At 53.0% G+C, this 13062-nt stretch overlaps 1 protein-coding gene across 20 annotated transcripts in view, besides 5 other annotated features; it reads right to left on the bottom strand.

The window, feature by feature from the left end:
• KIF17 (kinesin family member 17) overlaps nt 1-13062 on the bottom strand; it is a 56378-nt gene that overhangs the window by 16279 nt on the left and 27037 nt on the right. For 17 of the 20 annotated variants that reach the window (XR_007062426.1, XM_047426155.1, XM_047426150.1 and 14 more), the window contains exons 7-11: nt 12280-12427; nt 9480-10036; nt 8138-8218; nt 6901-7112; nt 4745-4976 (exon numbers count right to left, since the gene is read on the bottom strand). Coding sequence is in view for 19 of the 20 variants with exons in the window: in XM_047426155.1 (XP_047282111.1) it covers nt 4745-4976; nt 6901-7112; nt 8138-8218; nt 9480-10036; nt 12280-12427 (1230 nt within the window). In the remaining variant the exon portion in view is untranslated. Of the gene's footprint in view, nt 1-4744; nt 4977-6900; nt 7113-8137; nt 8219-9479; nt 10037-10618; nt 10916-12279; nt 12428-13062 lie in introns of those variants that run through there. The other 3 variants (XM_047426160.1, XM_047426159.1, XM_047426161.1) reach the window with 3 other exon arrangements.
• Nucleotides 7142-7643: an enhancer, noted in NCBI's record as "H3K4me1 hESC enhancer chr1:21011543-21012044 (GRCh37/hg19 assembly coordinates)". NCBI's record gives its function as "activates a minimal SCP1, AML or CMV promoter by ChIP-STARR-seq in naive H9 embryonic stem cells {active_cell/tissue: H9 hESC(naive)}" and the evidence as "EXISTENCE:reporter gene assay evidence [ECO:0000049][PMID:30033119]".
• Nucleotides 10642-10818: a silencer, noted in NCBI's record as "fragment chr1:21015043-21015219 (GRCh37/hg19 assembly coordinates)". NCBI's record gives its function as "represses an EF-1alpha promoter that drives an FKBP-Casp9 reporter gene in an ReSE screen in both phorbol 12-myristate 13-acetate-treated (for megakaryocytic differentiation) and untreated K562 erythroleukemia cells {active_cell/tissue: K562 | K562(+PMA)}" and the evidence as "EXISTENCE:reporter gene assay evidence [ECO:0000049][PMID:32094911]".
• Nucleotides 10642-11148: a biological region, named in NCBI's record as "H3K4me1 hESC enhancer GRCh37_chr1:21015049-21015549".
• Nucleotides 10648-11148: an enhancer, noted in NCBI's record as "H3K4me1 hESC enhancer chr1:21015049-21015549 (GRCh37/hg19 assembly coordinates)". NCBI's record gives its function as "activates a minimal SCP1, AML or CMV promoter by ChIP-STARR-seq in naive H9 embryonic stem cells {active_cell/tissue: H9 hESC(naive)}" and the evidence as "EXISTENCE:reporter gene assay evidence [ECO:0000049][PMID:30033119]".
• Nucleotides 11559-11781: a silencer, noted in NCBI's record as "fragment chr1:21015960-21016182 (GRCh37/hg19 assembly coordinates)". NCBI's record gives its function as "represses an EF-1alpha promoter that drives an FKBP-Casp9 reporter gene in an ReSE screen in K562 erythroleukemia cells {active_cell/tissue: K562}" and the evidence as "EXISTENCE:reporter gene assay evidence [ECO:0000049][PMID:32094911]".

Raw genomic sequence — 13062 nt, forward strand, 5'->3', positions numbered from 1 at the left:
ACTATACATTGTTGTGTGAGAAAAGCTAGGTAGAAGAAAGCGTGCACTAGAGCTACTTTTATCTAAGAAAGAGATGGCACGTGTGTTCTTGTGTGTGTGTATATTGGTCTGTTTTTACAATGCTCATAAAGACATACCCGACACTGGGTAATTTATAAAGAAAAAGAAGTTTAATGGACTCACAGTTCCACATGGCTGGGGCGGCCTCACAATCATGGTGGAAGGTGAAAGGCACATCTTACATGGTGGCAGGCAAAAGGAAAATCAGAACCAAGAGAAAGGGGTTTCCCCTTATAAAACCATCAGATCTCATGAAACTTATTCACTACCACAAGAACAGTATGGGGGAAACCGACCCCATGACTGAATTATCTCCCACTGGGTCCCTCCCACAACACATGAGAATTATGGGAGCTATAATTCAAGATAAGATTTGGGTGGGGACACAGCCAAACCATAACAGTGTGTATACACACATACGTACATATTTCCTTATACAAAAAAAATTTAAAAATAAAATAAAATAAACAGCATCCTAGGTACCTGAGGATGAAAACATCCATCTAAGCCTGAATCTCTCCAACAAGACCTCCAAAAAAACATGCAGAAGAACCAGGAGAGAAAAATAAAGCCACCCTTAACCAGCCTACAGCATGACCTGAAGACAGAGAACGCTGGAACCTTTGAATTACATGGAAGTACAGAGATAAACCCCCAAGTGCAGCAGACAGCCCCGGAGCCACCCCATGGGGAGGTAAGCAGAGAGCATCCAGGACAGCATGGGGCGAGGAGGAATGAGGTGATGGAAGGCAGGGTGCAGTCCCTCCACAAGGAGCAAGACAATCCTAAAAACGGATCTGAAACCTGAAAATGAGAAACTGATGGAAGAGACCAGTACGTGTGCAGGACCAGAGGAGTTAGTCTCCGGAAGGTGCTGCATTTAGAAGTGGGAAGCGCCCTTGAGGTGGAAACTGAAAGTCCTGCAGAAACAAGAGAAAACCACAAAAGACAACCACCACCAAAAAAATAAGCTTTCACCCCCAAGATTTTTGCCCCCTGTTTTTGTGCCTGTGAATATGGTATCTTCCTTGGCAAAAAAAAAAAAAAAAAAAGGACTTTGCAGCCAGGTGCAGTGGCTGATGCCTGTAATCCCGGCACTTTGGGAGGCTGAGGCCGGCAGATCATTTGAACTCAGGAGTTCGAGACCAGCCTGGGCAACATGGCAAAACCCCTTCTCTACAAAACAATTAGCTGGGTGCAGTGGCATGCGCCTGCAGTCCCAGCTACCTGGGAGGCTGAGGCAAGAGAATCGTTTGAGCCTGGGACAGCCAGCGTAACACAGCAAGACCCCCAGGAGTTTGAGACCAGCCTGGGTAACATAGCAAGACCCCTCCGCTACAAAAAATAATAATAATAAAAAAATTAGCCAGGCGTGGTGGTGCATACCTGTAGTCCCAGCTACTCAGGAGGCTGAGGCAGGAGGATTTCTTGAGCCCAGGAGGTCAAGGCTGCAGTGAGCTATGATTGTGCCACTGCACTCCAGCCTGGGCGACAGAGTGAGACCCTATCTCAAAATAAAATGAAAAATAAAAATAAAAGCAACAGAGAAGGCAGAGAGGCAGGCAGGAGAGATGTGGTAGAAGAGATGCTTCTGAAAGATGAGGCAGGAGTGGAGTCAGAGACATTCCACGCGTGAGAGGGACTGCTTCCCACTCTGGCTGTCTTTGCAGGGATCCAGGAGCCCAGGAATGCAGGCGGTGTCTAGAAGCCAAGAGTGACCCACAGTCGACAGTCAGCAAAAAGATGGGGACTTCAGTCCCGCAACCAACCTCATTGGACTAAATTGTGCCAACACCTGAAATGAGTGTGGACAAGGATTCTTCCCCTAGAACCTCCTGAAAGAAGTCCAGCCCTGCTAACACCTTGATTTCAGCCTTGTGGAATTCTAAGCAGAGAAGCCAGCCCCACTGTACCTGGACTCTGACCTACAGAACTGTGAGATGATATGTTTGTGTATATTAAGTAAGTAAATTTATAGTAATTTGTTAACACAGCAATAGGAAACAAATCAGAGATCGATTGATTGATTGATTTGAGACAGGGTCTCATGCTGCTATCCAGGCTGGAGTGCAATGTCACGATCTCCGCTCACTGCAACCTCCACCTCCCAGGCTCAAGCGATTCGCCCACCTCAGCCTCCCAAAGTGCTGAGATTACAGGCATAAGCCACCGTGCTTGGCCTAGAGTTCTATTTAAAACTACACTTCACTATACAAAGAGAAGAGTGTGCTATCGAATGAAGAAAACTAAGATACCACCTCAAACTTCATCTCTGCCTTCAGCTGTTATTGATAGTCCAGAAAAACATGACTGTTTACAAAGTAAACAGAAAAGAACAGATGTGTCTAACCAAAGCTACCAGAAGAAACAGAAAATAAAAATCAAAACATTTCAGTGAAGAAAATTCTCCCCGAAAGCACAAGCTCACAGAACCAAGCCAGCAGATAAAAATGTAACACAAGGCCAAGTGCAGTGGCTCACACCTGTAATCCCAGCAGTTTGGAAGGCCGAGGCGGGAGGATTGTTTGAGCCCAAGGGTTCAAGGTTATGGTGAGCTATGATCGTGCCACTGCACTTCAGCCTGGGTGACAGAGTGAGACTCTTAAAAATAAGAAATAAAAAATAACTCCAATTAGAATACATTTGAATAAAACGTTCTTAAACAGGCATTCACAGGTATGAACATTTCTAATCCAAAATTGAAAAACTTAGAAAGGGACAAAAAAATCAAGAAGATATGAAATAGGACATCAATGAAAAGAAAGGAAAAAATATTAGAAATGTAGACCTAATTCAAGATATCTACGGGAGAATGAATTCAACTGGAAATATAACAAGGAGCATTAAGAAAAGATATAAAAATAGCCAAGAAAGGCCAGGCATGGTGGCTCACACCTGTAATCCCAGCACTTTGGGAGGCTGAGGTGGGCGAATCATGAGGTCAGGAGATTGAGACCATCCTGGCTAATACAGTGAAACCCCGTCTCTACTAAAAAAATACAAAAAAATTAGCTGGGTGTGGTGGCGGGCGCCTGTAGTCCCAGCTACTCGGGAGGCTGAGGCAGGAGAATGGCATGAACCCAGGAGGCGGAGCTTGCAGTGAGCTGAGATCTCGCCACTGCACTCCAGCCTGGGTGACAGAGCAAGACTCTGTCTCAAAAAAAAAAAAAATCCAGGAAAATAAAAAACTAAAGAGGTTAAAGAGGCAAAAAGGTTTTGTTTTGTTTTGTTTTGTTTTTGAGACAGAGTCTCGCACTGTCACCCAGGCTGAAGTGCAGTGGCGTGATGTCAGCTCACTGCAACCTCCACCTCCCAGGTTCAAGGGATTCTCCTGCCTCAGCCTCCTGAGTAGCTGGGATTACAGCATGCGCCACCACGCCGGACTAATTTTTGTATTTTTTTTAGTAGAGACGGCATTTCACCATGTTGGCCAGGCTGGTCTTGAACTCCTGACCTCCAGTGACCCTCCCATCTCAGCCTCCCAAAGTGCTGGGATTACAGGCGAGAGCCACCGCGCCCAGCCAAAAGAGGCAAAGTTTTATGCTTGGCAAGATCCTTAGGATGCCAGGACGGTGGTGGGGGCGAGGGGGTGGGGAGGACCCTGCAGATGGCCAAGGAGCCATCATGAGGATCAGGAGACCCGGACAGCACAGAGAAAGCTCCAAAGGCAGTGCACATGACCCTCACCGTGGGCAGAATCACGCTCTCCCTGACTCAGGCCTCACTCCCTTTCTCCAGCCACATCTGCCCATTCTCTGCTCCTAGAAGATGCTGACCTCACTCCTGCTTCAGGCTCCATCCCAATGCTCCTCCTCATGCCACCCAGCACTGGTTCTCTCTCTCAGTTCCCCCAGAAGTCTCTACCTCCAGGAGAATGTCCCTGTCCCCCACCTGTGGTAGCCCAGGTCCTTCTGAGGTTCCCAGTCTGGGTGCTCGTTTCATGGGCATGCTTTGTGGAAAGCACTTCGTAGAAATGAATCAAGTTGTGCGTTTGTAATTTGTGCACTTAACCATCAACAAAAATGAGAACATAAAAACGGAGTTGTCTCGCCCTGGTATTCTCTTCACAGTACTGACCACTCCTCAATATTCTCTTACTTATTTCTCTCCTGTGTTATTTCTTACACACACGCACACCCACACACACACACAACACATACCCGCATGCATGCACACACATACAACATACCCGCATGCGTGCACACACATACAACATACCCGCATGCGTGCACACACACAACACACACACTGGGAGGCAAGCTCCACAGCGACAGGGACACATCTGTCACTGTGACTGCTCTGCCTGCCAGCATCAGAACAGGGTGTGTCACACTGCAGGCACTTAATAAGTGCTTTCCAGCCTGGGCAATATGGTGAGACCCTGCCTGTCCAAAAAATTTAATAAAGTAGCCAGGTGTGGTGGTGCACATCTGTAGTCTCAGCTACTCGGGAGACTGAGACAGGAAGATGGCTTGATTCTGGGAGGTGAGCTGATTGTACCACTGCACTGCAGCCTGGGCGACAGAGAGACCCTGTCTCTAAAAATAAATAATAAATGCATGCATGCCTGCTGTGTAAAGAGTAGAGGGCTGCCTGGCTTCCTACAAGGTGTAGGGATGCCTGGATCGGGGGGTCTCACCCATCTCTGGGCAGCTGGGCATGGGGGGCTGCATCTGGGCCTCACCTTCCTCTGCATCTTCTCCAGCAGCTTGCTCTTGGCCCGCACTTCCTCCTGGATGGAGTCGTAGACGTTAAGCAGCACCCAGTCCCCGCTGTCCTCATCCGAGTTCTGCAGGGCAGCCACCAGCTGCTTCCTGCGCTCGTCTGCGTAGCGCTTGCGCCGCTTGTGCTTCTCCTTCAGGTCCTTGTTCTTGGCCTGCTCTCCACCCACAACCTGCTGCTCCAACAGCTGCAGACTGCCGGCGTGGAGGAGAAAGCAAACAAGACAATATCTGCCCATCACCGAGCACGTGCCATCCAGCAGGCTCCAGGCTATGCGTGGGCCCCCCAGATCCTTCCAACAACCCCACTTCACAGGGAGGGAAACCGAGGCTCGGCGACAGGACGCTGCTTGCTCAGGGTCACAACCAGGATTCCTGCCCAACTCCCTGCCTGTGCACTTGACCACAGTGGCAGGTCAGGGCGGGAATCTTCCTGTGGGCTCAGCTAACCCACCCCTGACCCGTGGACTTCCCACGCTGGTGCTCCCTGCAGCTGAGCAGGCTAGTTCTGTGTCTAAGGCCACTGGCATGATGAGAAGAACCCTGGGTTGTGAAAAATGTTCAATACACTCAGCGCACAATATTTAATCAGGCAGGGACATGCACAATACATTGTTAAGACTATTTATGTCCAAAATGCTCAAAAACGTTTAGAGTTTTGTCCTTTAGAGGTACAAATTTTTGGCTGGGTGCAGTGGCTCACGCCTGTAATCCCAGCACTTTGGGAGGCCTAGGCAGGCAAATCATTTGAGGTCAGGAGTTTGAGACTAGCTTGACCAACATGGTTAAACCCCATCTCTACTAAAAATACAAAAATTAGCCGGGCGTGATGGTGCACACCTGTAATCCCAGCTACTTGGGAGGCTGAGGCACGAGAATTGCTTGAACCCAGGAGGCAGAGGTTGCAGTGAGCCGAGATCGCACCACTGCACTCCAGCCTGAGCAACAGAGCAAGGCTTCATCTCAAAAAAAAAAGAAAGAAAAAAACATCCTGCTGTGGGTCTCCATCAGGATGGAGCCCAAGCACCCGAGGAGGGCACATAGGGTCTTCCCTCTATCTCCCCTGCACCCCACTCTGCGGTTCACTCCAGCTTTCACTCACGGCTGGCACGTCTCCAAATGCCCGGGCCGGGTCCCACCTCCACACCTTTGCAGGTGCTGTGCCCTTTCTCTAGGATGCCACCCCTGCAGCAAACCTTTTTCAGCTGTCTCCACTTCTGTGAAGGCCCCCCAGCCTTCCCTCCACACCACACTGTGAAAACAGCCAGGACATGTGCCAAGTGTTTACTGCGTGCCCAGCGCGGGGCTGCCACGCTGCAGGCAATGCCCATTTTGACCCTCACCACAAGCTTCTCACACTGGGACTACTGATATCGCCCATTCTGAAGATGGGCAGTGAAGGCACAGAGAGGTTGCAAGTTGGCCCGAGGTGGCAGAGCTAGTGGAGGAGGCAGGCTGGGAACTGCTAGAGAACAGGACCCTCTTGGCCCTGCCTGTCCTCCGCCCTGGCCTGTGGGCCCTTGGGGCTGAGGCAGCAGCTTGCTCATCCTTGTGTCCTGGGCCCAGCACTCAGGGGTCGCTCAGTGTTTGAACTGTGGCCTCTGGGACTGGGTCTCCGCCTGTTGAACCCCTGGATGACCACGACATGGAGGTCGGGCTGACATCATCATTAACGGAAGTGAGAACCGAGGCTCAGAAAAGTTAAGTAACCTAACAAAGCCACACGGCAAGTGAGGAAAGCCCAGCTCCCCCGGCGGTCCCAGAGAGTGCCTGGGGATGGCTTGTCCTGTGGGTGAGTGGGTCTCACATTCAGGAGGGCACTGGAGGCCAGGGGGCTGGGGGCTTGGCTGGGATGGGAGAAAAGCCTGCGACACTCTGCCCTGGGACTCCTGAAACCTGAAGGCCAGCAGGCCTGACAAGGGATGCTGGTGGCAGCCTGTGTCTGGAGCAGAGCCCTGCCCGCCTAGTCCCCACTGCGCCTGGAGAGAGGATCAGGGCCGCCCTGCCAAGTTAGAAGGGAGAGCTGGGAGGAAGCTATGGCACCCCCGCCTCCATCCTGGAAGGCAGCCCCTTCCCACCTCACCGTGGGGTCCCGCCAGCCCCATGCTCTGCTGCTTACCGGGCCAGCACCTGCTGCTGGTCCACAACGGGCAGCGGGTCATCAGTCAGCACTGCCACCTCCATGCCCACGCTCTCCCTCTTCACACCAGCTGTGGCCGGCAGGGGCTCAGGCTGAGCCACCAGGGCCACCGGGGCCTGAGCCTCCAACCACACGCCAGGCTCTGCTGTCCGCACCACCTCTAAGGCCACTTCCGAGGCCAGATCTACCTCCTGAGTGTGAAGAGAAACCCAGGTGGAGGTGGGAAGGCCGCCCCAACCCCCGCCGACAGCTCCCAGGTGGCTCAATCCCAGACGGGGCCATTCCGCCTGCTGCAGCCCCGACAGATCACCTCCAGCTCAGGGACACCAGTGACACAAAAACACGCCCTGTTGAGTTCTTACTGCCGCTATTCCCACTGACACCCCCACGCTAGGAGGAAGGCTCCCAGCTTCCTCTCTCACCTCCCACAATCCAGTCTCCACAGGCAGCCAGGGCCATCTTAAAATAGAAACCGATCACATCCCGTTCCCGATGAGCCCCATGTGACTTCCCGTCACGTTCGCAGGAAAGTCCACTTTCCTCCCTGCCGGCTCCCTGCCTCCACGGCCTCCCCCGCCACCGTGGCCTCCTTTTCCATTGCTAAGAAAGTCAAGGTCTTTCCAGCCATAGGACCTTGGCACTTGCTATCCCCTCTGCTTGCTGCTTCCCCCCGTCCCTCCTTCACGCCTGGGTCCCACCCCAGAGTCACTTCCTAGCCAGGGCTGCCCCGGCTGCTCCATCTACGCCCTGCTGAGAGCCTGCTGCAGGCCCGGTGCCCAGCCCACACTTGAGTCCAAACTGTCTTCTTCCTCTATAAATGTAGGGAGATTTAAAGCTTCCTCTCCTTTTGCTCCCCTGGGGTGTTCAAATTGGGTTCCCCGATGGTGTCATAGGGGCCACCAGCCCTGACCTGCAGCCCTCGTCCTTTGCACACACTGGGCCTCAATTCCTTTACACAAAGGGCGACAAGGCTAAGGAAGGTTTGAAAGCCACCATCTAGAACAACAGGCCACTTTCACTCCATAAGAAGAAGATGATGGTTCCTCCCACTGCACACTGCCTGGCCACGGGCCACAAGCCCGGGGAAGGCTGGAGTTGTTGTTCTCAGCTCATGGATGAGGAAACTGAAGCTCAGGGAGGGAGAAGACAAGCTGGAGTTTCCCAGGAAGTTGAAGAGAACCCCGTCCCCCACATGGAGGCCCGGGGAGGTACTCACAGGCCTGGGCGGGAAGTCATCAGCCGCCTCGGCTTCGGGCCTGGCATCACTGGGCTCCAGCAGGTCTGTCGGCGCAGGGACCTGGGAGGAAAGAGGGGATGGAGGAGAAAGAAGGCTGATTTGGGCCAGAACCATCCTTTACTCCCTCACCCCTGGCCTCACTTCAACTCCCCAAGGCCTCCCACCACCCCCCAACCTCCCCTGCCTGTCACTCCCGAGAGAAGGAGCACAAAGGAGGGAAGAGATGAGGGAGAGAACAGGGAAGAGAGGAAACGGAAGACAGGCGTGTGGTGGGCACCTGCTGTGTGCCAGGAGCGTTGCCTGCATCCACTCCTCTGAAGCAACCTCATTTTACAGATGAGGAAACCCAGCCCAGAAAGGTCACACAACCAAGGAAGTGGTAGACCTGGGATCTCTCTCTCTAAATACACACACACAGACACACACACACAAAATACACACACACACACACAGAGGAAAGGAAAGCAGAGAACAAAGAGAGGAGAAAATAGGACTTTTTTTTTCTTTGAGATGGAGTCTCGCTCTGTCGCCCAGGCTGGAGCACAGTGGTGCGATCTTGGCTCACTGCAACCTCCGTCTCCCGGGTTCAAGTGATCCTCCTGCCTCAGCCTCCTGAGTAGCTGGGATTACAGGTGCACGCCACCACACCTGGCTAATTTTTATATTTTAGGTAGAAATGGGGTTTCACTTCACCATGTTGGCCAGGCCGGTCTTGAACTCCTGGCCTCAGGTGATCCACCCACCTCGGTCTCCCAAAGTTCTGGGATTACAGGCGTGAGCCAATGTGCCTGGCCAAGAGGAACATTGTTTTAAAAACAAGAGGGTTGTTGAAAAGGGAGAAGATGTTGGTCAGGGGGCCAGATGGAGGAAGAGCAGTATCCCAGAAGCCTCGTGGTCACTGAAAGGTGGCTGGATTCCCACAGACCCCCCACCCAGCTCACTACAGAGCTCACGAGCCAGTGAGCGTCGCCCAGGGCTCCGTCAGGCCTGGACACTCACTGTAACCATGGCAACTGGGCAAACGCCCTGTACAGCTGTCCCTCCATCTGCAGAACGGGAGCCCACCTGGCATAACCTTGCATCGCGACCCCAACTTTCTTATTGAATTACAGAGCATGAGACAGAGCTTCTCCTTCCCTAACCCCTGGACACCAGTGCCCCTGAGCCAGCCACCAGTGCCAGAGCCGCAGCAGACACAGTGGAGCCACGGCCTGAGTGTCGGAGGCCATGTGTGTGAACAGTGTGTGCACAGTGAGCTCCGGGCCCTGGGCAAGCTCTGCCTGCTCAGTGTTCACATGGCACCATGCGTGACATCAGCTACCTGCACAGGGACCTTGGGGACGTCTGCCTGGGGTGCATCTGTCCTGGCCACGGTGGAGGAGAGTCTGGCCAGCTTGGCTTCCACCTCGGCAAACGGGTCCTGCAGGCCTAGTAACCCCTGCAGGGGCACCTCCTGCGGCTCCTCTTGCGGGAGGTAGTTCTGTTCCCCCAGCAGGTGCCCAGCGGCCTCCTGCCCGAGGCACTCATCCAGGAAGTATCTGCTCCTGGACTCCTCAGTGGGCATGGAGACCTCCACGTTGGAGGGCTCCTCAGGCCCAGGGAAAGCCTCGGACACAGAGGTTTCTTCGAGCGAGGATGACTCACTGGAGCCCAGAGAAATCTCAGATTTGGAGGGTTCCACCTTGGGCAGCTCCGCAAACCTGGAGGAAACCTGAGTCTTGGAGACATCGTCACTGGGCAGAGTGTCAGTCGTGGAGAAGACCTTGGGTTTCACCACTGTCTCATACTGAAAAGCAGGCGGGTACTCAGCGCTGCTGGCAAACTCAGCCCTGGACATGACCTCAGCCTTGTAGAGGACTCCCACCTGCAGGACAGCCTCTGCAAAATGGAGAACTTCCTTCAGGTTTTTAAAGGGTCAGAATGAGAGACCCTTCCCTAGAAGGTGGCTCCAAGCCCAGTGTGTTGTTTTTTTTGTTTGTTTTTTTTTTGTTTTTTTTTGAGACAGAGTCTTGCTCTGTCGCCCGGGCTGGAGTGCAGTGGTGCGATCTCAGCTCACTGAAAGCTCTGCCTCCCAGGTTCATGCCATTCTCCTGCCTCGGCCTCCCGAGTAGCTGGGAGTACAGGCACCCGCCACCATGCCTGGCTAATTTTTTTTGTATTTTTAGTAGAGACAGGGTTTCACCATGTTAGCCAGGATGGTCTCGATCTCCTGACCTCGTGATCCGCCCCCACTCGGCCTCCCAAAGTGCTGGGATTACAGGCATGAGCCACCGCGCCTGGCCCAAGCCCACTGTTTCTAAAAGACCAGCTTAAGAGTCAGAGCCTCCCAGACCCTCCAGAGGCTGGCTACAGCCTGCCTGCCTTCCCATCTCTGCTTTTATCAGAACCCAAACCCTACCACCTTCCACCTCTTCCAGGAAGCCTTCCCTGACCAACGCTGGGATTCCTCCATTTTCTGACCTCCACAGCCACTGAGTGCTGGGCTCTTAAGTCACACCCAGCCTTGGGACCACTCTTCGCACACTGGCAGGCTTCCTGGGGCCTTGTTGCCTTCCAAGGCTGAGAGCTCAGCAGATTTCATGCCCGGGTGCCCTCGGAGCCCTCACTGGAGTGGCCAGCCCAGGGCTCTTGTCCACTGGATATGCTAGATCCACGGGAGCTAAATGAATGCTGTGGATGAATGTCAGAGCTCCAGAAGCCAGACGAAGATCTGCTGGAGGCCTCATATTCAATCTGGACTGGAGGGAACACTCCAAAGGGCATAAAATGCTAGAATCTGCTCCCTCCCCTTCCCCTGGGTCTCCTCCAGGAGCGCGTCTCCCTTGCAGCGGAGACAGGGCTGCATTCACATGGGCCCCTTAGTGCTCCAGTTCAGGGGGCTCCCGGCGCCTCTCATACCTCCCACCCATTTCTTTATCGTTATGTCCCAGACTCCTGTAAGAGGGTCTTGATTTTTCCCTTTGCTGAAATATGGCACCCACTCCCTAGCTAAATGGCCTGGATCTCTCTCAGCCTTGGTTTCCACACAGTTATGGGAGGATTCAGGGAGTCCTACCTCGCTGGACTGGGGAGACCAGAGGCTCAGTGAGGAGGTGCAGGTAAAGCACCCACACAGTACCCGGCACGTGGTAATGTGCCAACAAGCGGTACCGACGGTGCGATCAGTATCATCATCATTCCAGGCCTGGATTCTACACTATTCATGAGTGCTAGGAAGTCTGGACCTCCAGGCAGCATGCGTGTTTGACTGACACTGGTATGGCAGAATATCCTAGGGTGGCAAAAAGAAGACAAAAACTAAAGGCTGAGTGCAGTGGCTCATGCCTGTAAGCCCAGCACTTTGGGAGGCCAAGGCAGGTGGATCGCTTGAGCCCAGGAGTTCGAGACCAGCCTGGCCAACATGACGAAATCCCGTCTCTACTGAAAACACAAAAATTAGCCGGGTGTGGTAGTGTGCACCTGTAATCCCAGCTACTCAGGAGACTGAGGCACGAGAATTGCTTAAATCCGGGATGGGGAGGTTGCAGTAAGCCAAGGTCATGCCACTGCACTCCAGCCTGGGCGATGGAGCAAGACTCCATCTCAAAACAAAGAAATTTTTTTTTAAAAAAAAAGAACACAAAAACCTCCAGATAGGTAAACAGCTGTGGCTAAGGATTAAATCCTTATTATGGAATGTGTTTGCTTTGCTAACAGAGAGGCTCAAAAGTAAGAGGAGACCGGAAAACACAGCAATTCGGGGCAGGGACTGGCCTCTAAAGAAAGGGTGGCACTTCACAGCTCACAGTCAGCCTTGAGCTGGGGCCCAGTCCATGGCTAAGCCATCCCAGTGCAGTGCTGTGGGTGAGAACACTGGCTCTGGGGCCAGACTGCTTGGGTTCAAATCCTGGCTCTCCTTTACCAGCTGTGTGACCATGGGCAAGTTACCTACCCTCTCTGTGCCTCAGTTTCCTCATCTATATAGCGAGCATAATTGTGGTACCTACCTTACTGGACCATTGTGAGGATAAAACAGACCTGATCCTCGGGTGTAGAAAATGCTCTGTGATGCAGTTACTGCAGTGAGGCGGAAAGGAGGCCACCTTCCCTGGAGACAGCCTCGGGGGGCAAGGGGTGCCCACCTGTCTCCTTCCGCAGGTTCTCCTCCAGCGTGGACAGCCTGACGTCATATGAGTTGCGCATGGCAGTGATGTCTTCCTCCAGCCTGGCCCGAGACTCCTGCTCGGCCTTATAGTCGGCTTTCAGCCGGGCCAGGCGCTCTTCATACTCCTGGGGGGGTGGGAGGGACCAGAGGGCAGGCAGCATTTTATCATCATTTTGAAACCCAGCTTTCAGTATTCCTTTTTGGTTATTCAAACAATACAGAACCTATAAGTAAGCCAAGAGAATCCAATGGTACAACACTGTGATAATTACTTGCCGGTGAAGACCTTTCCAAACTGTTCTCAATGCTTTTTTGTTTTGTTTTGTTTTTGAGACAGGGTCTCACTCTGTCCCCCAGGCTGGAGTGCAATGGCATAATCATGGCTCATTCCAGCCTCGAACTCCCAGGCTCAAGTGATCCTCCTGCCTCAGCCTCCCAAATAGCTGGGACTATGGGCATGCCACCATCAGCAAAAAAAAATTTTTTTTTTTTTTGAGACGGAGTCTCGCTCTGTCGCCCAGGCTGGAGTGCAGTGGCGCCATCTCGGCTCACTGCAAGCTCTGCCTCCCAGGTTCACACCATTCTCCTGCCTCAGCCTCCCAAGTAGCTGGGACTACAAGCATCCGCCACCACGCTCAGCTAATTTTTTTGTATTTTTAGTAGAGACGGGGTTTCACTGTGTTAGCCAGGATGGTTTCGATCTCCTGACCTCGTGATCCACCCGCCTTGGCCTCCCAAAGTGCTGGGATTACAGGCGTGA

This window comes from Homo sapiens, chromosome 1, assembly GCF_000001405.40.
Source record: "Homo sapiens chromosome 1, GRCh38.p14 Primary Assembly".
NCBI lineage: Eukaryota > Metazoa > Chordata > Mammalia > Primates > Hominidae > Homo > Homo sapiens.